The 27,732-nt window shown below is 40.6% G+C and overlaps 1 protein-coding gene and 1 non-coding gene across 4 annotated transcripts; both read left to right on the top strand.

The window, feature by feature from the left end:
* On the top strand, positions 1–26,820 carry SPINK8 (serine peptidase inhibitor Kazal type 8 (putative)). 3 transcript variants are annotated; one of them, XR_002959568.2, is made up of 9 exons: positions 1–127; positions 1,191–1,296; positions 4,388–4,509; positions 5,308–5,387; positions 12,588–12,637; positions 14,044–14,165; positions 23,716–23,758; positions 24,357–24,480; positions 26,659–26,820. XR_002959568.2 is itself a non-coding variant. In NM_001080525.3 (8 exons), the coding sequence occupies exons 4-8, from the start codon at positions 5,321–5,323 to the stop codon at positions 26,668–26,670; spliced, it is 294 nt and encodes a 97-aa protein (NP_001073994.1). In that variant the 5' UTR covers positions 1–127; positions 1,191–1,296; positions 4,388–4,509; positions 5,308–5,320; the 3' UTR covers positions 26,671–26,820. The 3 variants fall into 3 exon arrangements, 2 of the variants coding, with proteins under 2 accessions (NP_001073994.1, XP_024309480.1); NM_001080525.3 differs by lacking the exon at positions 24,357–24,480; XM_024453712.2 differs by lacking the exon at positions 26,659–26,820 and having other exon boundaries at positions 24,357–24,521.
* MIR2115 (microRNA 2115) lies at positions 17,203–17,302 on the top strand. Its single transcript, NR_031749.1, has one exon. It is a non-coding gene; the product is annotated as a microRNA 2115 (primary transcript).
* Positions 26,821–27,732: the final 912 nt, after the last annotated feature.

Here is a 27,732-nt window from a genome sequence, read left to right as displayed (position 1 = left end):
AGAACTCACTCCTGAGTGCAAAGGCAATGTCAGGCACGCTGGTAAAGGACCACTAGAATCCAGCAGCCCAGACCCCTTTCTTTGTGGTCAAGAAGGGCAGGAAAACAGGTGCAGGACTGCTACATCGGTGAGTGTAACTAATCTGATAAGCAGAGGTCCGTGGGTGGTTACGCACCCTGAAAAGGAATAAGCATTAGGACCACAGAGGACGCTCTAGGACTAATGCTCATCAGAAAATGACTAGGGGTGCTGGCATCCCTATGTTCTTTTTAAACGTTCCCCCCTCCCAGGCAAAAACGCCCCTAAGATGTATTCTAGAGAATTAGGACCAATTTGACCCTCAGATGCTAAGAAAGAAACGACTTATATTCTTCTGCAGTACCCCTGGCCACAATATCCTCTTCAAGAGGGAGAAACATGCCCTCCAAGGGAAGTATAAATTATAACACCATCTTACAGCTAGACTTCTTTTGTAGAAAATAGGGCAAATGGAGCGAAGTGCCATATGTGCAAACTTTCTTTTCATTAAGAGACAACTCACAATTATGTTAAAAGTGTGATTTATGCCCTACAGGAAGCCCTCAGAATCTACCCCCCTGCCCCGGCGTTCCCCCGGCTCCTTCCCCAACTAATAATGACCCCCCTTCAACACAAACGGTGCCAAAGGAGATAGAGAAAGGGGTAAACAATGAACCAAAGAGTGCCAATATTCCCAGATTATGCCCCCTTGAAGTGGTGGGAGGAGGAGAATTCAGCCCAGAGTGTGTGTACCTTTTTCCCTCTCAGACTTGAAGCAAATTAAAATAGACCTAGGTAAATTCTCAAATAACCCTGATGGCTATATTGATGTTTTACAAGGGTTAGGACAATCCTTTGATCTGACATGGAGAGACATAATGTTACTGCTAGATCAGATACTAACCCCAAATGAGAGAAGTGCCGCTATAACTGCAGCCCAAGAGTTTGGCAATCTCTGGTATCTCAGTCAGGTCAATGATAGGATGACAACAGAGGAAAGAGAACGATTCCCCACAGGCCAGCAGGCAGTTCCCAGTGTAGACCCTCAATGGGACGCAGAATCAGAATGTGGAGATTGGTGCCGCAGACATTTGCTAACTTGCATGCTAGAAGGACTAAGAAAAACTAGGAAGAAGCCTATGAATTATTCAATGATGCCCACTATAACACAGGGAAAGGAAGAAAATCCTACTGCCTTTCTGGAGAGACTAAGGGAGGCATTGAGGAAGCATACCTCTCTGTCATCTGGATCTATTGAAGGCCAACTAATCTTAAAGGGTAAGTTTATCACTCAGCTGCAGACATTAGAAAAAAACTTCAAAATCCGCCTTAGGCCTGGAACAAAACTTAAACTAAGAACTTGGCCTCAGTTTTTATAATAGAGATCAGAAGGAGCAGGCAGAACTGGACAAACGGGATAAAAAGAAGGCCACCGCTTTAGTCATGGCCTTCAGGCAAGTGGACTTTGGAGGCTCTGGAAAAGTGAAAGGCTGGGCAAATCGAATGCCTAATAGGGATTTGATTCCAGTGCGGTCTACAAGGACACTTTAAAAAAGATTGTCCGAATAGAAATAAGCCACCCCCTCATCCATGCCCCTTATTTCAAGGGTATCACTGGAAGGCCCACTGCCCCAGGGGATGAAGGTCCTCTGAGTCAGAAGCCACTAACCAGATGATCCAGCAGCAGGACTGAGGGTGCCTGGGGCAAGCGCCAGCCCCTGGCATCACCCTCCCCAGGTATGCTTGACCACTGAGGGCCAGGAGGTTAACTGTCTGCTGGACACTAGCGCGGCCTTCTCAGTCTTACTCTCCTGTCCCAGACAACTGTCCTCCAGATCTGTCACTATCCGAGGGGTCCTAGGACAGGCAGTCACTAGATACTTCTCCCAGACACTAAGTTGTGACTAGGGAACTTTACCATTTTCACATACCTTTCTAATTATGCCTGAAAGCCCCATTCCCTTGTTAGGGAGAGACATTCTAGCAAAAACAGGGGCCATTATACACTAGAATTAGGAGAAGAAAAAAAGGTAAATATCTATACAGACTCTAAGTATGCTTACCTAGTCCTCCATGCCCACGCAGCAATATGGAGAGAAAGAGAATTCCTAACTTCTGAGGGAACACCTATCAAATATCAGGAAGCCATTAGAAGATTATCATTGGCTGTACAGAAACCTAAAGAGGTGGCAGTCTTACACTGCAGGAGTCATCAGAAAGGAAAGGAAAGGGAAATAGAAAGGGAACCGCCAAGCAGATATTGAAGCCAAAGAGCCACAAGGCAGGACCCTCCATTAGAAAGGCTTATAGAAGGACCCCCTAGTATAGGGTAATCCCCTCCGTGCCGCTATACTACCAGTAGCTCCCCTTACCAAGAGCTTCTATGGAGAATGCGGCTTCCCGGAAATATTGAAGCCCCATCTTATAGGAGTTTTTCTAAAGGAAACCCCACTTTCAGCCCCACACCCATATGCCCCTGAACTTCAGGCCATACATTTCAATCCCTGTATCTTTAACCTCCTTGTTAAGTTTGTCTCTTCCAGAATCAAAGCTGTAAAACTACAAATGTTCTTCAAATGGAGCCCCAGATGCAGTCCCTGACTAAGATCTACCAGGGATCCTTGGACCGGCCTGCTAGCCCATGCTGTGATATTGATGACATCAAAGGCACCCCTCCCTAGGAAATCTCAACTGCACGACCCCTACTATGCCCCAGTTGAGCAGGAAGCAGTTAGAGCAGTTGTCAGCCAATCCCCCCAACAGCACTTGGGTTTTCCTGTTGAGAGCGGGGACTGAGAGACAGGACTAGCTGGATTTCTTAGGCTGACTAAGAATTTGTAAGCCTAGCTAGAGAAGGTGAACGCACCCACGTTTAAACAGGGGCTTGTAACTCAGCTCAAGCCCGACCAATCAGGTAGTAAAGAGGGCTCACTAAAATACAAAATAGGCTAAAAGCAGGAGGTAAAGAAATAGTCAAATCATATATCGCCTGAGAACACAGGGGAGGGACAATGATCGGGATATAAACCCAGGCATTCAAGCAGGGAGTGGCAACCCCCTTTGGGTCTCTTCCCATCATATGGGAGCTCTGTTTCCACTCTATTAAATCTTGCAACTGAAAAACAAAAAGACAGTTTTGCTCTGTCTCCCAAGCTAGAGTGCAGTGGCGCGATCTCGGCTTACTGCAACCTCTGCCTCTTGGGTTCAAGCGATTCTCATGCCTCAGCCTCATGAGTAGCTGGGATTACAGGCACGCACCACCACGCCCAGCTAATTTTTGCATTTTTAGTAGAGACAGGGTCTCACCATGTTGGCCAAGCCGGTCTCGAACTCCTAGCCTCAAGCGATCCGCCTGCCTCAGCTTCCCAAAGTGCTGAGATTACAGGCTTGAGCCACAGTACCCAGCCTATTAAAATTTCTGATGGAAAATTTTACATGTAACTTAAAAATATATATAAGCAGGCACCAAATTTAGAGGGATTAAAAGCAAAAATTCTGAAGACCACCATGGTAGACACTGTGGTTGATCAGAGCAGTGCTGAGAAAATACACTTGACCTCCCAGAACTATGTGGCATGTCCCCAGTTAAGGCCATTCATTTAGGACTTAGACCTGAGGAATTTATGATAACCAATAACTTCTGAACTTCTGCTTTAAAAAATGTTAGCGTTTTGAGAAATTTTTGTTCAAATGGTAGAACAAGCTATCATTTAAGGGAAATGAGCACTCTATCTCCAGATTTCTCAGCTCTGCTAAATAAGACTGAACTTGGAGGATTCCATATAAGGTAATTTTCTACTTTAAAACCCTGTGAGTCAGGCCAAATCAGTGGCTTACACCTGTAATCCCAATGCTTTGGGAGGCCAAGCAAGAGGGTCACTTGAGGCTAGGCGTTCAAGGCTGCAGTGAGCTGTGATTATGCCACTGTACTTCAGCCTGGGCAACAGAGAAAGACCTTGTCTCTAAAGAAATAAAAATAAATAGAACCTCTATAAGTCAATATAGAAATAATCTAAAGCAGATGCTTCAATAAAGTGAACACTTTTGACTTGATAAAATAACTGCACATGCAGATGTGGTACTTTATAATATTGTGTCAATATCTGAAGCCGTCTTGAATGTAATAATTATAATGCAAATTAAAATGTAGGAATTCAAAAATTGTCTATGACATATGTCTAAAATGGTAGGTTCAGCTTTGGCAAGAACAGCTAGATTTGGGAGTAGTACTGGACAGTACATATCACCCTCAGAAATTTGAAATATGAACTCACAAGATTTAGGCATTACAGAATTTAGAGTTGAAAGAAATAGATTTGAGTCATATCTACACTTCCTAATTTCAAAGCTCACTCTCTTCTACTTCCAGGCATTGGAACCTTGAAAAGACAAATAAGCTTTGCCTTCCTTCCTAGTTCATTATGAACAAACTATCAACAAAAACCATCCTGTTCAGCCAGTTTCTCAGAGCAACCATGGGAGTCACAGCAGGTAAAGTGGACTTCTTAATTTGCAAACTTTTAAGGGTTGTATTATTTATTACTTGGTTTTTTCCTCAGGGGAGGCCTTGGGTAGAAATTACCTCGATATAGAATGAAAAATGTTTGCCTGGAAAATGTGTAGGATGAAGAGAATAGAAACCAGTAATTAAAATATCAATTGGTATGTACTATAATAATTTCAATAATGCAAGTAAGCTGTTGGTAAATATACTATGGTTTTCCTTTCAGTAATTTTACTGGATACTAAGTATTAACACCAAGTAACAACATTAGGGAAGATTACAAGTAAAGGAGTGAGGTTTTGGTGTTTTGTCCCTTCTTGTTTCTTATTGCCTGTTGACTTACACATGTTGTTGAGTGACTGCTCTTCAGAAATGGGGTCCTGCTATGTTGCCCAGGCTGGTCTCGAACTCCTGGGCTCAAGTGATCCTCCTGCCTTGGCCTCCCAAAATGCTGGGATTACAGGCATGAGCCACCATGCCTGGCTACTTTTAAATATTTTATTGGAAAACTCTTAGTATTTATTCTTTCCCTTGGCAAGCATTCTTTACTAACTCTTTTTCTGGCATCTTCTAAAATTCTGTTTTTAAGATTTTTTTTTCAAATGTCCAAAGATTTTAGGGAAATGAATTAAACAATTGAGTTGCATCAGACACAATTCATTCCAAATGACCTGAGGAAAGAACAAAGTATTTAGACTTCATTTCCTGGTCAGTGAGGGATCTCTGTGAGAACTTGTACTTCGCATAGATGTTTGTCCTACATCAAAAGTTGCATATTTCCACAGTTCTTCTGTCACCATGAAGGGGATCTGCTCAGACGCCATCCTTGTTCTAGCTACCTCCATGTGGATGGCCTTTGCAATTGGTGAGTTATGTGTCCTTGCTCTGCCCACATTTTCTGCAGTAAATCTAGAATCATGGGAAGATTAGAGATGGAAGTGGAAGTGCTGTTCAGTTTTATTTAATCCTAATTTCTCATGTTACAAATGTAGAAATTAAAACCCAGAGAAAGGATTCATACAATGTTGCTACTATCAAAGCTGGGATTTGAATCCAAACCATCCAAGTCCAGGAACATTGAACTTCCCAAAATGCCAGGTTACTACCTAAGATATTTAAACCTCAGAAATGTACATTTCTAGAGTTTGTATATTTACATATCTCAAATCAAAAAAAGAAACTCATTAGACTATGTGGAAGTAGACTCAGATATTATTCTGGTTAATGGCGGGTTTTAGCAAAAGTCATGCTTATAGTTAACAGTAGGGAATCTCTGAAGGCCTCAACATGTTGTTTTTCTATTCGATTTCTGCAACTCTTTCCTACTTGTCTTCAATCTCTTACTTTCCATTGGTACGGCGTCTCACTTAAAACATTTTTTTCAAGGCTCTCACATCTTAGGAGAGTTCTGTAACAAGCTGAAAACTATTTTTCATGACTCTCATATCTTACGTAAAAAACAAATAAGCCTGGTCCCTCTCCTCCCCTTCCCTCTCCAATTTAATCATCTGTTGACAAATCTAGGTATATTTCTACACTTCCTCACCTTTCATTCAATCCTCACCCCCACTGCTACTGAGCATATCAGCCATTGGCATCAGCCTCCCTGCAAGCCTGCTGTGTTCCCTTCTGGCTGAGTCTCATCCTCTGTCGGGAACACACCATAACTCAACCAAAGTGGACCACTCCATCTTTCTTGCAAATCACCCTTTCCTTGTTCTTGTAGTTGTATGGCCTTATATTTTTGCCTCAAACCTATTTCTCCCCTGTATGCCCATAACCAGTGACTAAGTTCGGTTGATAGAACACTTCATATATCATGTAAATTCATGCTTTTCCACATTTCCACAACAGTGACTTCCTCAGTGAAGGTTCTCATCATTTCATGAAAATATTTTTATATTCTCCTTAACCGTTCCCTTTGCCTCTAACTTGACTTACTCTAACCCATGTACCACTGCTACAATAGTTGTCATTTTTAGTGCAAATCTTATCTTAGTTCTGCTGTAATAAACACAAAGCCTTTGTGATGTGGCCCTTACTACTATGCTGGGTTTCCCAGCACCCATTTATTTACATATCCAATAAATATATACTGTGTGTTGACCTTATGCCAGTAACTGGGCTAGACATGGGTTATGTGTCAGGAGTGGTACCTGAACACACCAGTGGTGGAAGATATATAGATATCATAGTTCATACCTAATATTAACACACTTTTTTTTTTTTTTGAGACAGAGTCTTGCTGTTACCCAGGCTGGAGTGCAGTGGTGTGATCTCAGCTCACTGCAACCTCCACCTCCTGGGTTCAAGCGAGTTTCCCACCTCAGCCCCCAAAGTGGCTGGAACTATATGCATGTGCCACCATGCCTGGCTAAATTTTTTTTATTTTTAGTAGAGACATGGTTTGACTATGTTGGCCAGGGTGGTCTCGAACACCTGACCTCGAATGATCCATCCGGCTTGGCCTCCTAAAGTGCTGAGATTACAGGCATGAGCCACCTCACCCGGCCACACCTTTTTTTTTTTTCTTGAGACAGAGTCTCCCTCAGCCACCCAGGATGGAGTGCAGTGGCACCATCTCAGATCACTGCAACCACTGCCTCCCAAGTTCAAGCGATTCTCCCATCTCAGCCTTCCAAGTAGCTAGGATTACAGGCATCTGCCATCATGCCCAGCTAATTTTTGTATTTTAGTAGAGACAGGGTTTCACCATGTTGGTCAGGCTGGTCTTGAACTCCTGACCTCAGGTGACCTGCCAGCCTTGGCCTCACAAAGTGCTGGGATTACAGGCGTGAGCCACCGCGCCCGGCCAGACCACACATTTTGATAAATGTTTCAAAAGGTAGGAACAGCAAGAATGTGTAGAACTTAAGCCACTGCCTATCTTTCCCCTTCCCTTCCCAGCGCAGTGTGAGGGAAGATCTACTCTGGACAGATATGGCCAAGATGAGTTTTTCTTCTCTCCCTAAGCTTACAGGGGGCAATGGTATATCTCCCTCAGAAGGACACGTCGTCAACATTTTTCATTCCCCCCATACCTTTGTGTTGCTGAGGCTAAATTCCAGGAAAGTGAGTCCCAGAGGCAGGGTTCTCTTTTTTCCCACCCATCTCCTACTTGTGAGACTGAGGCTCCATCCCAGGTGAGGCAGACTGAGAGTAGTGGGGCCCTGATGGCCCTCACCCTAGCTTAGGTCAGCCCAGTGTCTCAAAAAAAAAAAAAAGAAAAGAAAAGAAAGGACGGTTGGGCATGGTGGCTCATGCCTGTAATCCCAGCACTTTGGGAGGCCAAGGCGGGCAGATCACCTGAGGTCGGGAGTTTGAGACCAGCCTGACCAACTTGGAGAAACCCCATCTCTACTAAACATACAAAAGTTAGCCAGCCATGGTGGTGCATGCCTGTAATCCCAGCCTCCCATCTCAGGAGGCTGAAGCAGGAGAATCACTTGAACCTGGGAGGCAGAGGTTGCAGTGAGCTGAGTTCGCACCATTGCACTCCAGCTTGGGTGACAAGAGTGAAACTCACTCTCAAAAAAAAAAAAAAAAAATTAGCCAGGCATGGTGGTGCAGACCTATAGTCCCAGCTACTGGGGAGGCTGAGGCAGGAGAAGCACTTGAACTAGGGAGGTGGAGGTTGCAGTGAGCCAAGAATGTACCAGTGCACTACAGCCTGGGCAACAGAGTGAGCCGCTGTCTCAAAAAAAAAAAAAAATTACAACGTTACATTAAAAAAATACTTACTTACTTAGTGCAACACAAACCAGTGAAGGAGGACTTGAGAAAAAAGGAGACATACACAAAACAAAAAGTAAAATGGCAGGTGTAAGTCAATCCAACTATATCAATAAAAAAATTAAATGCGAATGAATTACACAATCCAATCAAAAGGCATAAACTGTCAGACTGAACAAAAAAAAACCAACATCCAACTATATGCTTTATATGGAGATACTCCTTAGATTCAAAAACACAAATAAGCTGAAAGTAAAATGATGAGAAAAATATATCATGCAAACTGCAACCATAAAAAGTTGGAATGGCTATACTAATATCAGACAAAATATACTTCAAAACAAAAATGTTACTACAAATGAAGAGAGACATGTTATGATAAAGGGTCAGTCTATCAGGAAGATAAAACAATTATGAACATATATGCACCTAAAAATAAAGCCCCAAATATATGAAGCAAAACTAACAGAATTGAAGGGAGAAATTGATAATACAACAATAATGGTTGGAGACATCACCTCAAACTTTCAATAATGGCTAAAACAACTAGACAGAAGACCAATAAGGAAATAGAAGACTAGAACAACACTATTAACCAACTAGACCCAACAGACATCTACAGACTACACCATCCAACAACATCAGAATACACATACTGCTCAGGTGCACATGCAGTGTTCTCCAGGATAGGCCATATCCTAGATCATAAAACAAGCCTCAATAAATCTAAAAGGATTGAAATCATGTAAAGTAATTTTTCTACTATATAGAAATGTTTATTTGAATGTATTCTATATGTTCTTTATGTTAGAGAACATATAGAAATGTAATATATTTGATAATAGCACAAAGGGGGTGAGTGGGAGCAACGTTGCTCTCACCACTACTATTTAACATTGTACTGGAGGTTCAAGCCAGGGTAATTAGGCAAGAGAAAATGAATAAAAGTTATCCAGATAGGATTGGAAGAAGTAAAATGATCTCTGTTTGTAGATGACATAATTTTGTGAATAGAAAGTCCTAAGGAATACTCTAAAAACTGTTAGTGTTAATAGCAAGTTTGCAGAATACAAGAGCAATATACAAAAATCATTTGTATATCTATACACTACTAATGAACATCCTGAAAATGAAATTAAGAAAACAATTTCACTTACAATAGCATCAAAAATAATAAAATACCTAAGGATAATTTACCAAAGGAGGTGAAAGACTTGCACACTGAAAACTACAAAACATTGATGAAAGAAATTAAAGAAGACCTAAACCAACATAAAGATATCCCATCTTCATGGATTGGAAGACTTAACATTGTTAAGATGGCAATATTCTAGAAATCAATCTACAGATTCCATGCAAATCCTATCAAAACCACAGCTGGCTTTTTTGCAGAAATGGAAAAGCTGATTCTAAAATTCATATGGAAAAGCAAAAGACTGACAATAGACAAAATAGACCTCAAAAAAAAAAAAAAAAGTTGAAGTACTCACACTTTTCAATTTCAAAGCTTACTACAAAGTTACAGACATCAAGACAGTTTGGTACTAGCATGAGAATAGAAATACAGGTCAATGTTTCAGTCATACGTTTTATGAAAAAGAAAAAGAAATACAGATCAATAAAATATAAGAGTCCAGGGGAAAAACACCTTACATTTGGAGTGAATTGATTTTAACAAGCTCTGAAGACAATTCAGTGGACAATAATCTTTTTAAACAAATGCTGCTAGGACAACTGGATATCTATATACAAAAGAATAAATGTGGACCTTTTCCTCACACCATGGACACAAATTATAATGCCTCAACATGGATCACAGAACTAAATGTAAGAGCTAAAATTATAAAACTATTAGAAGAAAACAATATGAGTGAATTTCGTGACCTTGAATTAGGCAAAGCCTTCTTAACGATGGCACCAAAGGCAGAAAGGAACAACAAAAACAAAAAGATCAATTGGACTTTTAAAAACTTTTGTGATTCAAATGATACCAATAAAGATACCAATATGGCCAGGAGTGGTGGCTCATGCCTGTAATCCCAGAACTTTAGGAGGCTGAGGCGGGCAGATCACCTGAGGTACTGAAAATACAAAAATTAGCTGGGTGTGGTGGTGCACACCTGTAATCCCAGCTACTCGGGTGGCTGAGTCACGAAAATTGCTTGAACCTGGGAGGTGGAGGTTGTAGTAAGCAGAGATCACGCCACTGCACTCCAGCCTGTGTGACAGAGCGAAACTCTGTCTCAAAAAACAAAACAAAACAAACAAAAACAACAGAGATACCACTTCACACCTACTAGGATGGCTATAAGAAAAAAGAAAGATAGTAACAAATGTTAGCAAAGATGTGAAGAAATTGAAGCCATCGTGCCTTGCTGATGGGAATGTAAAATGCAGCTGCTTTGGAAAATAGCCTGGCAAGTCCTTAAAAGGTTGGAATATGACTGGCAATTCCACACTTTGTATATACTTAAGGGAAATAAAAACACATGCCCACACAAAAATGTGTGCATAAATATTCATAGCAGCTTTATTCATAATAGCAAAAAAGTGAAAGCAACTCAAATGTCCATTAACTGATTAATGGATAAATAAAATGTGGAATATACATACATTGAATATTATTTAGTTATAAAAAAGAATGAAGTACTGATACAAGCTACAATATAGTTAGAACATTAAAACACAGACACAAAAAACCATATACTTCGTTGCATGACTCCATTTATATGAAATGTCCAGAAAAGCAAATCTACAGAAACAGAAAGTAGAGGCTGGGCTTGATGGCTCATGCCTGTAATCCCAGAAATTTAAGAGGCTGAGGTGGGCATATCACCTAAGGTCAGGAGTTCGAGACCAGCCTGGACAACACGGTGAAACCCCGTCTCTACTAAAAATACAAAAATTAGCTGGGCATGGTGGCATGCACCTGTAATCCCAGCTATTTGGAAGGCTGAGACAGGAGAATCACTTGAACCCAGGAGGCCGAGGTTGCAGTGAGCTGAGATCGCGCCACTGCACTCCAGCTTAGGCGACAGACCAAGATTCTGTCTAAAAAAAAAAAACAAAAAGAAACAGAAAGTGGATTATTGTTTTTCAGGGGCGAGGGTGGGGCAGGAGGGGAAATAGTTGGAAGAGGGGCATGATAAATGACTGCTAATGGTTACAGGGTTTCTTTTTGAGGTGATGATGGCATAACTGTGAATATACTAAAAACCATCAAACTGTAAACTTTAGGTGAATTATTTAAAAAGAAAAAAATCCTCTATATGATGGTAAAAATTGGTAAATTCAGCTGGGCATGGTGGCTTACATCTGTAATCCCAGCACTTTAGGAGGCTGAGTGGGAGAATTGCTTAAGCCCAGGAATTCCAGACCAGCCTGTACAACGTAGTGAGACCTCAGCTCCACCAAAAAAATCAAGAAAATAAGTTGGTCATAGTGGTGCATGCCTGTAGTCCCAGCCACTTGGGAGGCTGAGGTAGGAGGATTACTTGAGCCCAGGTAGTTGAGGCTTCAGTGAGCTGATATCGTGTCAATGCACTCCAGCCTGGGTGACAGAGCAAGACTCTGTCTGAAAACTTTTTTTTTTTTTAGACGGAGTCTTGCTCTTTCACCCACGCTGAAGTGTAATGGTGCGATCTTGGCTCACTGCAACCTCCACCTCCTGGGTTCAAGTCATTCTCCTCCCTCAACATCCCAAGTAGCTGGGACTACAGGCATGCACCACCATGCCTGGCTAATTTTTGTATTTTTAGTAGAGACAGGGTTTCACCATGTTGGCCAGGCAGGTCAAAGCATTTTTTAAAAATCTGGTAAAATTCTATGATATGTGAATTATACCCAAGAAAGCTGATATATATGAGAGTTGATAACATATTATACATATTATATACTATAAAATTATATCATGTGATTATAATATATACTTATATAAAATTTTATATACATATGTAATTGCAAAGACTGCTTTGAATTGAATATGTAAGCCTTAATGAAACTCAGCATCTTTTAGGGCATCTCAATATAATGAATTCATGGTAATTTGTAACTTAGAGCATGTTTACTAAAAAAAACTGACAAGGATTACAGAAGTTGTTACTTATGAAATGGAAGGGCTAGAATTAAGAACTCCATTTTACAAGAAGGTAAAGGCACGTATTTCCTGATTCTTTGCTCCTTTAGAGGGCAGCTTGCATCAAAGAGGAGCCCAGCCTCTTCTGATGGGGTTTGATGCTTCCTGTGTGCCAACTAGGGTTCCCCTCATCTTACCTTTTTCGCTGAGGGCAGAAGACAGAGAAGCAACTTTTCTGTATGTGCTTTTGTCTTCCAGACTTCCCCCTTCCTATGGCCTCTGAAAGAGGTCAGCTAGACAAAACAATAGTGAGTACTGCTTCCTTGGTTCCTAATAACAGGAATGGGGAGAGAGCCAGTTTGCCCAAAAGCCCCAGCTCTTTCTTCTGGGAGGTGGGCAGTGGAGGGGGCTTGCATGGGAATAACAGAACAATAAAAGCTGAGTCACCAAGTATGTGTAGCACATTTTATATGTTCCTGAGCCCTCTTCTCAAGGGTTCTCCCAATCAGTTTACATAACTCACCTGTGGGGTAGAAAGCAAGTATTTTGCACCAATAAATGGATGAGGATGTCGTGGCACAAATTCAGGTAGGTCCTATGCCACAGTGGATACTGTTTCCACCATGATATGCCAGGCATACCCCCTGCCTCCCTCACACCAAGGCCCTATGAGGTATTTCCTCCATCTCCTTCCTTTGGTGCCTTCAACCTGCTGTGACAAGTTTCAGCCCCTGCCATCTGAGGCACCACATATGATAATGTTCATCAGAATTTTTTTTTTTTTTGAGACGGAGTCTTGCTCTGTTGCCCAGGCTGGAGTGCAGTGGCGCGATCTCAGCTCACTGCAACCTCTGCCTCCTGGGTTCAAGTGATTCTTCTGCCTCAGCCTCCCGAGTAGCTTGGACTACAGGTACGTGCCACCACACCCAGCTAATTTTTGTATTTTTAGTAGAGATGGGGTTTCACCATGTTGGCCAGGCTGGTCTCAAACTCCTGACCTTATGGTCTGCCCACCTCGGCCTCCCAAAGTGCTGGGAGTGCAGGCGTGAGCCGCCATGCCTGGCCCTTCATCAGAAATTTTAACCTGGAAAGACATTTCCCTACTTCTGCTCTCTGTAACCTACCAATCACATTTTGGGGTTGGTACAAAAATATGATTGTTAGGTTACAGAGGGCAGGGATTTTTATCTTTTTTTTTTTTTGGAGACGGAGTCTTGCTCTGTCGCCCAGGCTGGAGTGCAGTGGCGCGATCTCGGCTCACTGCAAGCTCCGCCTCCCAGGTTCACATCATTCTCCTGCCTCAGCCTCCCCAGCAGCTGGGACTACAGGCGCCCACCACCACGCCCGGCTAATTTTTTGTATTTTTAGTAGAGATGGGGTTTACCGTGGTCTCGATCTCCTGACCTCGTGATCCACCCACCTCGGACTCCCAAAGTGCTGGGATTACAGGCATGAGCCACCGCGCCCGGCCGGTATTTTTATCTTAATAAAGAATTTATGGGAGTCTGGAGAGTGCACAGATTATATATTATTTTGCAATTATATACATATTGTGGGTGGTAACTGTTGGGGTCAAACACTGAGGCTTCTGAATCCTTTTCTCTGAACTCCTGATCTGGTGCTCGTATTCCATCCACCTCCCAAGCTATACATAATAACGGCCAAAGGACCTGGATGAAAGTGTCTGAAGCAGTTGTGTGTGTCTCACCTTCAGGTTGAATGCCTCAAGAATGTAAATAAGTGCTGGTTTTTATCCTACATCAAGCCCAGTGAACCTATTTGTGGCAGTGACCAGGTTACCTACAGTAGTGACTGCCATCTGTGCTCCAAAATTCTGTAAGTCCTAATTTTGTTCTCCCTTTCTTTCAAGTCAAGAGGTTAAGAGTGGTCAAAAGAGGGTGATGACCTCAGCCCACTTCCTACATCATCCAATGAGACCTTCTCTCCAGACATTCCTCCAGTATTTGTTCCTCCCTTTCTTCCATTCCTTTCTGTGACCTCAAAAGGTACATGTGATCCTATTCAGACAATGCAGAAACAGAAATCCACTAAGGTGAGGGCACTGTGTGTGACCTGGACAAGCCTCAAGTGGAGGCACTCAGAAACAAGCAGCCATAGCATGTAGATCATGTGACCCTACATGAAGGTCATCCTCATGCCCCCTCAGGCCAAAGAACAGAAACAAAGAACAAAAAGAAGAGGAAGAGGAAGCTGGGTGAAGAATCTTCCCAGCTAATAGTTTATTGGTCCTAAAATGGATATTATTTTCCAAAACAACTTTCTTTTGCTTTCAACTTAGTATGTGGTTTAGTCTCTGCACCCATCACATGTTAGAAGCTTTGAGTAACACACAAGTGAAACGCCCAATTGTTTAGCCCAAGGGGAATAGTGAGGAGCAGGGGTTTGTATGAAGGAAACTCCGTATACAGTTAGGAGGATTCTCTGACATCTGCCTTCTCCTTTAAGGAGAAAAGCCACACCCTTGTCTAACTAAGGCTTACAAGTTGAGTGCTATCTTAAGAGAGAAAAGCAAAAACACAAGAGTAGATCAGAATTAAGTCTCTCTCCCCTTCCTCTTCTTAGCTTCTCCTCCAGAGAAGGAATAAGAATCTTCTTGATCAGGATGAGAGATATTTGGCTGGGCAGGATCGGACTTTCTTGTATTCTTGGCTGAATAAACACTAAAGCTTACACTAGAACCCATACGAGAGTTGTAAGGTAAACAACTTTGGTGTCAGCCTCAATCACTGGCACAGACGCTGACACCTGACAATCAGAAAGCATCATCTGGGGAATGCGCAGCATGACAGAGTCAAACGATGCTGGAACCAGGAGACATCTGAGAGATGGCCTCTAAAGAGCTCCCTTTCAGTGTATCTTAGAAATTATTCTAGCTGGGCGCAGTGGCTCACGCCTGTAATCCCAGCACTTTGGGAGGCCGAGGTGGGCGGATCACCTGAGGTCAGGAGTTCGAGACCAGCCTGGCCAATATGATGAAATCCCGTCTCTACTAAAAATACAAAAATTAGCCGGGTGTGGTGGTGCATGCCTGTAATCCCAGCTACTCAGGAGGATGAGGCAGAAGAATCCCTCGAACCCAGGAGGCGGAGGTTGCAGTGAGCTGAGATTGCATCACTGCACTCCAGCCTGGGAGATAAAGCAAGACTCCGTCTCAAAAAAAAAGAAATTATTCTCTTAGCAGTTGCACTGGATATTACAAGTTAAATTCTAATTTATACCAATCTAATTTGGATTAATACCAACTTAATTACAAAAATTTTAAAAAATATTTTTGCCTGGAGGGGTGGCTCAAGCCTGTAATCCCAACACTTTGGGAAGCTGAGGCAGAAGGATTGCTTGAGCCTAGGGATTTGAGACATGAGCAACATAGCGAGACCCTGACTCTACAAAAAAAAATTAAAAAATTAGCCAGGCATGGTGGCACCTGCCTGTAGTCCTAGCTACTTGGAAGTCAGGATGATTGCTTGAGCCCAGGAGTTCAAGGCTGCAGTGAGCCATGATCGTGCCACTGCACTCTAGCCTGGGCAACAGAGCAAAGTTCTTTTGAGACGGGCAGATCAGGAGGTCAGGAGATAGAGACCATCCTGGCTAACATGGTGAAACCCCATCTCTACTAAAAATACAAAAAATTAGCCAGACGTGGTGGCGGGTGCCTGTAGTCCCAGCTACTCAGGAGGCTCAGGCAGGAGAATGGCATGAACCTGAGAGGTGGAGCTTGCAGTGAGCCAAGATCGCGCCACTGCACTCCAGCCTGGGTGACAAAGTGAGACTCCGTCTCAAATAAATAAATAAATAAATAAATGCTCCTTTTTTTTTATTTTTTGAGATGTAGTTTCACTTTTGTTGCGCATGCTGGAGTGCAATACTGTGGTCTCGGCTCACTGCAACCTCTGCCTCCTGGGTTCAAGTGATTCTCCTGCCTCAGCTTCCCGAGTAGCTGGGATTACAGGCGCACACCAACACACCTAGCTAATTTTTGTATTTTTGTAGAGATGGGGTTTCACCATGTTGGCCAGGCTGGTCTCAAACTCCTAACCTCAGGTGATCAGCCTGCCTCGGCCTCCCAAAGTGCTGGGATTACAGGCATGAGCCACTACACCCAGCCAAAAAATGCTGTTCTTAAATAGCTCCATTCTCCCCATCCTTCTTTGAACTGTTTTTGTTATACAAATTACAGCTTTATTCATTGTACACCCATTCACACAGATTTATAATTGTTTTATGCAGTTGCCTCTTAGGAGAGAAAGATTTACAAACAAAAATATGTTTATACTGTCTATTATTTTCCTATATAGTTACTTTAACTGGCTCTTTATTTCTTCACATGAATTCAAGTTTCTGCTTATGATCCTTTCATTTTAGCCTGAAGGACTATTTAGTATTTTGTAGGTCTGCTAGCAACAAATTGCCTCAATTCTTCTTTATCTAGACATATCTTAATTTCACCTTTCTTTCTGAAGAATAGTTTGGTGGGCATAGAATTCTTGGTTGACTGTCATTTTCTTTTTTTATTTTTCTTTTATTTATTCATTTATTTATGAGACCAGGTCTCACTCTGTCACCCAGGTTGGAGTGCAGTGGCATGATTGTGGCTCACTGCAGCCTCGACCTCCTGGGCTCAAGTGATCCTCCCACCTCAGCCTTCTGAGTAGCTAGGACTACAGGCACACCCCACCATGTTCAGCTAAATTTGTTTTTGTATTTTTGGTAGAGACAGGTTTTCACCATGTTGCCCAGGCTGGTCTTGAACTCCTGAGCTCAAGCAGTCCACCCTCCTCCACCTCCCAAAGTGCTGGGATTATAGGTGTGAGCCACCGTGCCTGGCCACCTCTCATTTTCTTTCAGCATTTTGACTGTCATCCCACTGCTTCCAGCTTCCATGACTCCTGATGGAGGAATCACATGAATTCATCAGAATTCATGGAGGCTAGAAGCAGTATGAGGATCATTTACATGTGATATTCACTTCTCCCTTTCTGCTTTTTGGATTCTCTCTTTGCCTTTGTCTTTTGGCAATTTTATAATGATTTGTCTATGTGTGGCTCTATTAGAATGCATCCTATTGTAAGTTTTTTGAACTTACTGGATGAAGTTTTTCATCAAACTTGGGGAATTTCAGCCATTATTTTTCCAAGTATTCTCCTCTCCTTGAGGGATTCCCTTTATGTATATGTTGATGCCCTTGACAGTGTCCCACACTTCTCTGTGGCTATATTCATTTTTTTCCCAATTTGAATTGAGTTTTATCTTATTGGTTATGTGAGGCATTTTAACCCATTTTGTTCTTTTTTCTTCATAATTATTTTTCTTTCTTTTCCTCAAACTGGTTACTATTCATTGGTCTATCTTCAAGCACATTTGACTCTTTCTTCTGTCTGCTCAAATCTTATATGAGCCCCTCCAGGGAATTTTTCATTCTAGGTCATTGTAATTTTCAACTTTAGAATTTTTATTCAGGTTCTTGGAAAATTTTTTCTGTCTCTTTATTGATATTCGCTATTTGGTGAGACATCATTCTCATACTTGCCTTTAGTTCTTTGTTCTTTACATACAGTTTCCTTCAGTTCTTTTTTTTTTTTTTTTTTTTTTTTGAGATGGAGTCTTACTCTGTTACCCAGGCTGGAGTGCAGTGGCATGATCTCGGCTCACTGCAACCTCTGCCTCCTGGATTCAAGCAACTATCCTATCTCAGCCTCCCAAGTAGCTGGGATTACAGGCTTGTGCCATCAAGCCCCACTAATTTTTGTAGTTTTAGTAAAGACAGGATTTCACCATGTTGGTCAGGCTGGTCTTGAACTCCTGACCACAAGTGATCCACCTGCCTCAGCCTCCCAAAGTGTTAGGATTACAGGAGTGAGCCACCACACCCGGCCCAGTTCTTTAAACATAAGTAAAATAGCTGATTTAAAATGTCTTGTAAGTCCAACATCTGGGCTTCCTCAGTGACAGATTCCATTGACTGACTTTTATCCTATATGCGAGCCATACTTTCTTTTCCTTTGTACGTGCCATGACTATTTTGTTGAAAATTGAATATTTTGAATAATATAATGTGGCAACTCTGGAAATCAGATTCTCACCTCTATCCAAGGTTTGTTGCTGTTATTTGTTGTTGTTGCCATGTGTTAGTTTAGTGACTTCTGAAATAATCCTGTAAAGTATGCATTTTTTGTCATGTATGGCCATTGATCTGGTCCTACTCATTATCTTATTATCAGCTAATGATTGGAAAAAAATTTCCTTAAATGGCTGGAACCAATAAATCTCCCAGTCTTTGACAACAAAAACTTTGTGTGTGCACTGAGGCATGTCTCTACTCAACCAGGCAGTTTAAAGCTACACTTTAGTGGTCACTGGATGTTTGCACAGACCCACAAGATTAGTTAGAGATGAGATGTTGGGACTTTCTCTGGTCTTTTCTGAGCATGCAGAAAGCCTTACACTGGCTGCAAGGCCTTCTGTATTTCCAGTAACATGTTAGAGCTTTTCAAAACCTCCTATGGACATCTCATTGCCTAACTTACTTTTAAGCTCTTGGTTAACCTATTGTTTTTCACAACTGTTACACACTGTGCAGCAGCCATGATGTTAAACAGTTGCCTCTGATTGTTTTCAACAAATTTTCCCAGGGAAAAGGCTGTTTGCACCAAGAGAGGTTTGAGTATGGTCAAATAAAAGCTTTGCAAATGGGTCTTTCAGAGAACCACCCAGACAGGTCAAATAATGACAATTCTCTGGTAATGGTGCATTGAAGGCATTCCAACACCAGTCTTCTCCCTCCAGATGCTGCCAGGCTGCTGGTTTTCACTATGATTGTGGGTGGTTGTTTTTCATTACTACCATGGAACTGGGAATGCTGCAGATGGGTCCAGAGCAAGATAAAATGCCATGAAACTCACTATTCTTACTGAGAAGCAGCAATTTTTCTTCAATAGATGTTCCTTGGATTGCTGCATGGTTTGATTTTTTTTTTTTTAATTCCCAGAATTCTGGAAAACTTGATTCTGACCATTTTTGCCAGTGTTCTTGTTGCTTTCGTGGAGGAAATTTTAAAGATTCTTACTTCTCCATTTTCACTGTCCAAGCAAAAGGGCTCACTTTTGAATGAAGACACTGAGACCTGAGGGGAGCAACTTATCAAAGTTCTTATAACTATAAATGGGTGCAAATGCATATTTTTAAAGATTGAGGTAAAATTCATATGACATAAAATGAACCATTTTAAAGTGAACAAATTGGTAGCATTTAGTACATTTACAATGTTATAAAACTGCCACCTTTATTACTTTCAAAACATTTTTGTCACTCCAGAATAAAACCTCATGTCCATTAAGCAGTTAACTTCCCATTCCCTCCTCCCCACAGTTCCTGGCAACTAGCAATAGACTTTCTGTTTTTACAGATTTACTATTCTGTATATTTCACATAACTGGAATTATACAACCTATGATCTTTTGTGTCTGGCTTCTTTCACTTACATAATCATTTTGAGGTTCATCCACAGTGTGGCATATATCTTCATTTCTTTTTGTATTACTGAATAGTTTTCCATTATGTGTATATACCACAATTTTTTTATTTATTCATTGAAGGAAATTTGGGTTGTTTCCATGTCTAACTATTGTGAAGAGTGCTCTTATAGACATTTGTGTACAAGTATTTATTTGAGTACCTGTTTTCAGCCTTCTGGTTATATACCTAGGGGTGGAATTTGCTGAGTTATATGGTAATTCTGTGTTTAACTTTTTGAGGAACCATCAAACTTTTCTATAGGGGCTGAACCATTTTACATTCTTCCAGAAATATGAGAGTTCCAATTTCTTCACATCCTTGCTAGTACTTTTTAAAAATATTATTATATCCATCCTTGTGGGTGTGAAAATGGTATCTCATCAAGTTTTCATTTACATTTCTCTAATGACTAATGAGGTTGGACATCTTCTTATGTACTTTTTGGCTATCCATATACTTTTTTGGAGAAATATCTACTCAAGTCCTTTGCCCATTTTTAAAAATTGTGTTGTCTTTATGTTTTAGTTGTAAGAATTCTTTATATATTTTGAATACTAAATACTATGATTTTCAAATATTTCTCCCCCGATTCTATAGGTTGCCTTTTACTTTCATGATAATGTCCTTTGATGCACAAAGTTTTTAATTTTGATGACATCAATTTATCTATTTTTTCTTTTGTTGTTCTTACGTTTGCTATTACACCCAAAAAACCACTGTAAAATCCAAAGGCATAAAGATTTACCTCTAATTTTTCTTCTAAGAGTTTAGTAGTTTTAGCCCATTGATCTTTTTTTTTTTTTGAGACAGAGTCTGACTCTGTTCCCAGGCTGGAGTGCAGTGGCATGATTTCAGCTCACTGCAACCTCTGCCTCCCAGGTTCAAGCAATTCTCCTGCCTCAGCCTCCGGAGTAGCTGGGACTACAGGTGTGCACCACCACGCCCAGCTAATTTTTTGTATTTTTAGTGGAGACGGGGTTTCACCATGCTGGCCAGGCTGGTCTCGAACTTCTGACCTTGTGATCCCCCTACCTCGGCCTCCCAAAGTGCTGGGATTACAGGCGTGAGCCACCACGCCCGGCCCCATTGATCCATTTTTGAATTAAATTTTATATATGGTGTGAGATAGAGGTCTAACTTTTTTCTTTTTTCTTTTTGAGACAGGGTCTCACTTTGTCACCCAAGCTGGAGTGAAGTGGCACGATCTTGGTTCACTGCAACCTCCACCTCCTGGGTTCAAGCAATTCTCCTGCCTCAGCATCCCCAGTGGCTGGGATTACAGGTGCCCACCACCAAGCCTGGGTAATTTTTGTATTTTTAATAGAGATTGGGTTTCACCATGTTGGCCAGGCTGGTCTCAAATTCTTGACCTCAGGTCATCTGCCTGACTCAGCCTCCCAAAGTGCTGGGATTATAGGTATCAGCCACCATGCCCACCCTGTCTAATGTTATTCTTTTGCATGTGGTTATCCAGTTGTCCCAGCTTTATTTGTTGAAGAAACTATCCTCTTCCCCCATTGAATGGCCTTGGTACCCTTGTTGAAAATCAATTGGCCATAGATATATGAGTTTATTTTTGGATCCTTGATTCTTTTCTTTTGTTCTGTATTTATATCCTAATACCAGTACCAGTACCACTGATTATTATACTTTTTTTTTTTTTTTGGAGACAGGGTCTTACTGCATCTCCCAGGTTGGAGAGCAGTGGTGTGGTCATAGCTCACTGCAGTCTTGAACTCCCAGGCCCACACAATCCTCCTGCCTCAGCCTCCCAAGTAGCTGACACTGCAAGATTATTGTAGTGTTATAGTAAGTTTTTGAAATTGGACATTTGGAGTTTTCCAATTTTGTTTCTTTTTCAAGATGATTTTGGCAACTCAGGGCCCTTTGCAATTCTATATGAATTTCAAGATTGGCTTTTCTATTTCCACAAAATATAAAGGCCACTGGAATTTTGATAAGGATTTCATTGAATCTGTAGATTGCTTTGGGAAGTATTGTCATCTTAAATTAATTCTTCCAGTCAGTGAGCATGGGATGTCATTCATTTATTTAGGCCTTCTTTATTTATTTTCAGCAGTTTCAATTTTGTAGTTTTGAGTGTACAAGTCTTTCACCTCCAGGATTCTTACTAAGTATTTTCTTTTTTGGATGCTGTTGTAAACTGAATTGTTTTCTTAATTTTATTTTGAAATTGTTCATTGCTGATTTATAGTTATAGAAACACAACTGATTTTTGTTTGTTAATCTTGTACTCTGCAACTTGCTGAATTTATTAGCTTTAGTCATTTTTATATTAATTATTTGGGATTTTCTACATATAGAATCATATCATCTTTGAATAGAGATCATTTTACTTCTTCCTTTCCAATTTGGATGCCTTTTATTTCTTTTTCTTGCCTAATTGCTCGCCTAGAATTTCCAGTCCAATGTTGAATCTCAGTGGTGAAAGCAGGTATTCATGTCTTGTTCCTGATCTTATACAGGTCTTTCAGTCTTTCACCATTGAGTACGATATTAGCTATGGGTTTTTCATAAGTGTTCTTTATCGTGTTGAAGAAGTTCTCTTCTATTCCTAGTTTTCTGGGTGTTTTATTATGAAATGGTGTTGGATTTTGTTGAATATTATGTGTGTATGTTTTGAATCAATTAGTATTATCATGCAGTGTTTTTCTGTCATTCTATTAATGTGATATTATTAAATTGGCTGATTTTTTTTTTGAAACGCTCTGAATTCTTGGGATAAAGGCCATTTTGTCATGGTGTATAATCCTTTTAATATGTGGTTGTATTCAATTTGTTGGTATTTTTCTGAGAATCTTTGCATCTGTATTCACAAGGGATATTGGTCTATAGTTTTCCTTTATGTGATGTCTTTGTCTGTCTTTGATAACATGGTAATGCTGTCCTCATAGAATGAAGTAGCAAGTGTTCCCTCCTCTTGTATTGTTTGGAAGAGTTTAAGAAAGATTGGTACTAAATCTTTTAAAAATATTTGGTAGGCCAGGTGCAGTGGCTCATGCCTGTAATCCCTGCACTTTGGGAGGCCGAAGCGGGTGGATCACCTGAGGTCAGGAGTTCAAGACCAGCCTGGCCTACATGATGAAACCCAGTCTCTACTAAAAATACAAAAAATTAGCTGGGCCTGGTGGCGCATGCCTGTAATCCCAGCTACTTGGAAGGCTGAGGCAGGAGAATTGCTTGAACCCAGGAGGCAGAGGTTGCAGTGAGCTGAGATCGTGCCACTGCACTCCAGCCTGGGCAACAAGAGCAAAACTCTGTCTCAAAAAAAAAAAAAAAAAATTTTTTTTTTGGTAGAATTCAGTACTAAAGCCATCTGGTGTTTGTCGGGACATTTTTTATTACTGATTCAGTATCTTTACTTGTCATAGGTCTGTTGAGACTTTTTATTTCTTATTAAGTTTTGATAATTTGTGTGTTTCTAGGAATTTGTTCATTTCATCCAGAATATCTAATCTATTGACATACAATTGTTCATAGTATTCTCTTTTAATCCTTTGTTTCTGTAAGGTCAGTAGCGATGTTTCAGCTTTCATTAAATGCATATTTTAACTTTAAGACACATTCTTTTTCTAATCCTCTGTATTTCTACTTGAATTTTCAAAGGCTATTTTGAATTTCTGTATTTTATTGTAGACTGAGTATGTTTTCTATACTCAATGTCTTTGACAAATAAAAATTCATATAGTAGAATTTTTAAATATTTGCCAAGAATTCATTATTAGCAGAATGTTTATTTCCCAAACTTAGCCAAAGATTATCAAGTAAAATTTAGTCAGAATTTATGATATACCATACAGCAAAAATAATTTTAAAATATAATTTCTTTCAGATTTGAAGGGCTTAACATAACTAAACTGTATGATGGACAATGTGTAAGTAAAGACACTTTTATTTTTTATTTTTAGAAGTAAACTAGATAAGTTAAGAGCTCACTGTTTTAGAGGGTTTTAAATGTTTTGTTATGAACATTTTCAAACATACATAAAAGTAGAGCCAATAATAGATCCCATAAGCCTATCATGTGTATTCAATAAATTGTAATGTTTTGCCACATTTCCTCCCTCTATTCTTTTATTTCTCTGTTTTCTTTGATGAAGTATATTAAAACAGGTCTCAGACATCATGTTATTCACTCCTACATACTTCAGAGTTCCTCTCTAATAAGTTTGGACATTTCCTTACATACTCAGAAGGTCTTATTACAACTAATTATTTCATTGTCATCTTCTAATACATACTTCATATTCAAATCTCCCCAACCAAAAATAACACCTTCTGGAGGAAGAAACATAATTTGGCCTGATAATTCAGCTTAAAGAACATCTATTTCACCCTTGCTCTTCCCTGTCATTTCCAATATCTAGGATATTAATGAAAGACACTAATTGAAATGTGAACAGTTATTCTGAGAGTGAATGGGCCAGGACTTGCCGGAGCCCTAGGTCTAGAGATTGTGTCCCTGACTTCCAGGTTATAGTCCAAAGCAAGAACTCAGCTGAAGCCATAGAGATCATTATTGCATTATGAGGCGTGGCAACAAGACTGGGAGAAATCAATGTAGAAGAGAAAATAAAGACAGTAGGAGGTAAAGCAGGTAAAACAGGACAATTGTATAATTTAGTAATAATTTTATGACAATGTCTTCTGACACCATCTCCATGACAAACTCACAGGGCTCATCTGATTTACAGACCAGCACACATATTACTCACTTAGGGACGGTCAATTACCTGAATGTTCTCTAGTTCCACTAAAGAGAAATCACAAGAACTTTTAGACACTTTCATGATTTGGGGTAACTATGAAAAGATCTCACATAATTTCTACTTCTGTCAGATTCTTGCTGAGCTGGGCTTACTCATTAAAAATCCTGCTAAATCCCTCCTTTTATATCTGGACCGTACCTCAGTCTATGACTCTTGTCAAATAAATCTCTGGTCTTATATCCATTTTAAACTTTTAACTTCAAAGGGGTGGTTTTAAATTTAAGGATATCTATAGAATGGTGTTCAAAGTGTTCTAAGAATCACTTATGTGCCAAAGTAAAGACTAATATTTAACAGGGGAGAAGAGTTTTAGGGACATGCAGAAAGAGGGATTGGTAAGGAAGATATCACATCAGTATAAAATGATAGAATTTTCCCTAAATCAGAGCGATCCAGAAAAGAATTGTGCGGCATCCAAATACAGTGAGCTTCCTTTCATCACATTTGGACTAGAAAATCCCAAATCTTCTAGGGGAGATCCCTGTATCATGTTGGGACCTCAACAGTCTATTTAAGACAAAAATGCATTTTATTCATTTATTTCAAATGTAAACATTAATTGTGCCATGGATGAAAAGTTAACTATAGGAGACCACCTGAAAATTTTACTGCAGAGCACAATTCTGTCTCTCTACCAAGGCTCTGATGAAATTGTTGATATAATTAATATTGCTTTTATAAAGTAATTCAGAAAGCTTGGATGCCAAGGATTTGCAGAGATTAAGAATGCAGACTGGGCCAGGCACGGTGGCTCATGCCTGTAATCCCAGCACTTTGGGAGGCCAAGGCAGGCGGATCACAAGGTCAGGAGATCGAGACCATCCTGGCTAACACGGTGAAACCCATCTCTACTAAAAATACAAAAAAAATTAGCCAGTCTTGGTGGCGGGCGCCTGTAGTCCCAGCTACTTGGGAGGCTGAGGCAGGTGAATGGCATGAACCCGGGAGGTGGAGCTTGCAGTAAGCCAAGATCACGCCACTGCACTCCAGCCTGGGCGCCAGAGTGAGACTCCGTCTCAAAAAAAAAAAAAAAAAAAAAAAAAAAAAAGAATGCAGACTGAAGTCAGAATTCATTGCACAAACTCAGTGATCTAGAGCTAGTACCACTGACAGCTTTAGTTATTCTTATGTATAGGTAGTAAGCCCAGGTATCCCAAGTACAGAATGTGATGTCTGGGGAAGAGCGTTGAAGAAAAAGTCACAAATCTTTCAGTTAATACCTCTGTGACTCAGCTAGAACTCATCTGTCTGGGTTATCATGAAACTCAAATGAGATGTACACTTGAATGAACTCAAATGAGATATAGGCTTAATAAAGATATGTACTCATATATATGAGTATATAATTGCATTAAGAGCCAACCATAATGATGAACTACAATGAGCTATTGGCACCTTCCCCTAAATCAGTCCTTAGAGAATCAATTGGAGTTTGAGGAAACTAATAATTCCAGAAGAGGTGGGGGGGTGGGGGGCAGATAGGGAGGGAGAGAGAGAGAGTAGGAAGAGAAAGAAGAAAAGAAGACATGAAAATGGAGAAAGAAGAGGGATAGGGAGGAAGAGGAAGTGGAAGAAGGAAGGGAGGAAAGGAAGGAAGGAAAGAAGGAAGGAAGGAAGGGGAAAGAGAAGGGAAAGGAAAGGGAAAAGAGGGGAAGGGGAAACCTGAGACACTCTTAGGGAGATGGAAAGCTCCATATCCTCCAACAGGCCTCTGCCAGGACCCTGCTTCATGTCAACTCCACTGCCTCTATCCCCTCAGGAGTTCCCAGAGGCTCTCCTGGAGTCCAAAGTCTCACCCAGACATCCCCATCCTTTGCCTCTTTTCCACCGACTTTCACTCTGCTTTTTCCTTCTCCAGTGAAATTAGAATGTCTCTAACCTGCCTTAATTCAGAGAATAATTGTTTAGCATTTCCCCTGCTGAACTATGGTTGTGTTTACCAGTGTGGTGGCTTTTCTCTTAACTTCCTCAAATTTGATTTCTCTAAGCAGATACTTCTCTTGCAGGAAAACTCTTGAACGTACGACAAAGAATTATAAAACCTACTGAATCTCCAGATTGCCAAGTGAAACACAATGGTTGCCTCTTCAAATATATCCCCTTTAATTACTAATGGTTGGATCAAACTCGTTGATTTATGTCTTCAATAAATGATTCTTAGCAGAAAACCTGGCTGGCAAACATTTCTCTTGATTAATAAGAATCTTTAAAAAATATCAGATATTCTATTTTCTCATCCCCAAACTACTTGACTCATGCCATGGGTTCCCTCTGTTCTTACACAGATTGTAAGCAAATGACCACAAAAATCTAAAATCTTAGTAAGAAAAGCAAGCTTTCTGGTGTTTTTAACTTGCCCTGTACCCATTCTCCCTACCCCAACTCTGCTGTAGGCTTAAATTAAACCAGCCTTGAAATCATGGTGGAAACCAGCCTGCGAAAAGACATTCAAAGGGGAAGAACAGGTTTGGAGGTCCCCAAAAACACCATTTCCAGAAAATGATCGTTATTTGATTTGCCTGGCAGTTCCCTAGAGACCTCCTCCAGCTGGGTTGCTTTTTGGCTTTTTGTTTTGTTTTTTGTTTTGTTTTAACCTGACTGAGAGTTCTCTCACTGAGAACTTTTTCCCTGGGGCATCTGTCAAAAACAAACAGCCTCAATTTTTAAAATTTGCAACAACCTTAAGCAGTGATAACATTTGGGACAAACAAATAACAACAACAAAAAAAAAGTAAAAGAAAAAGCTGAGAATAGAATGTCCATGGAGCTTTTGAAAAGCTCTGGCATATTTCTAGGAATCTAGAAGACCAAGAGCATGAGCAGGTCTGTAATATGTCCAGGAGAATCTTTAGAAGGCCCTATGTGCTCACCTTGGCTGACTTTAATGCTCTAAATAGCAAGAAATGAAGTCTAAAGCAGAGTTGTAAACTGCCTGCCTGACCATTGAAGGCATGGCTCAATACATACAGAATACCTCGGCAAAGGCAGAAAGACTTATTGGTTCCAAGTATTTAAAAACACTATGTCCAATCATTAGATGACCACTAAACTAATGGAACAGAGTCTTCAATGGTTACACA

The sequence above is a fragment of the Homo sapiens genome, chromosome 3 (genome assembly GCF_000001405.40).
Source record: "Homo sapiens chromosome 3, GRCh38.p14 Primary Assembly".
In the NCBI taxonomy this organism is placed as follows: Eukaryota; Metazoa; Chordata; class Mammalia; order Primates; family Hominidae; genus Homo; species Homo sapiens.
The sequence above is the reverse complement of the archived record's forward strand: the minus strand, read 5'-3'. Positions and strand labels throughout refer to the sequence as shown.

Excerpts from the sequence above, each read along its gene's own strand:
- SPINK8 (XM_024453712.2), top strand. The coding sequence starts at position 5,321 with ATGAAGGGGATCTGCTCAGACGCCATCCTTGTTCTAGCTACCTCCATG. Across the intron at positions 5,388-12,587 it reads GTGGATGGCCTTTGCAATTG|ACTTCCCCCTTCCTATGGCC; the intron begins GTGAGTTATGTG and ends TTTGTCTTCCAG. Across the intron at positions 12,638-14,043 it reads GTCAGCTAGACAAAACAATA|GTTGAATGCCTCAAGAATGT; the intron begins GTGAGTACTGCT and ends TCTCACCTTCAG.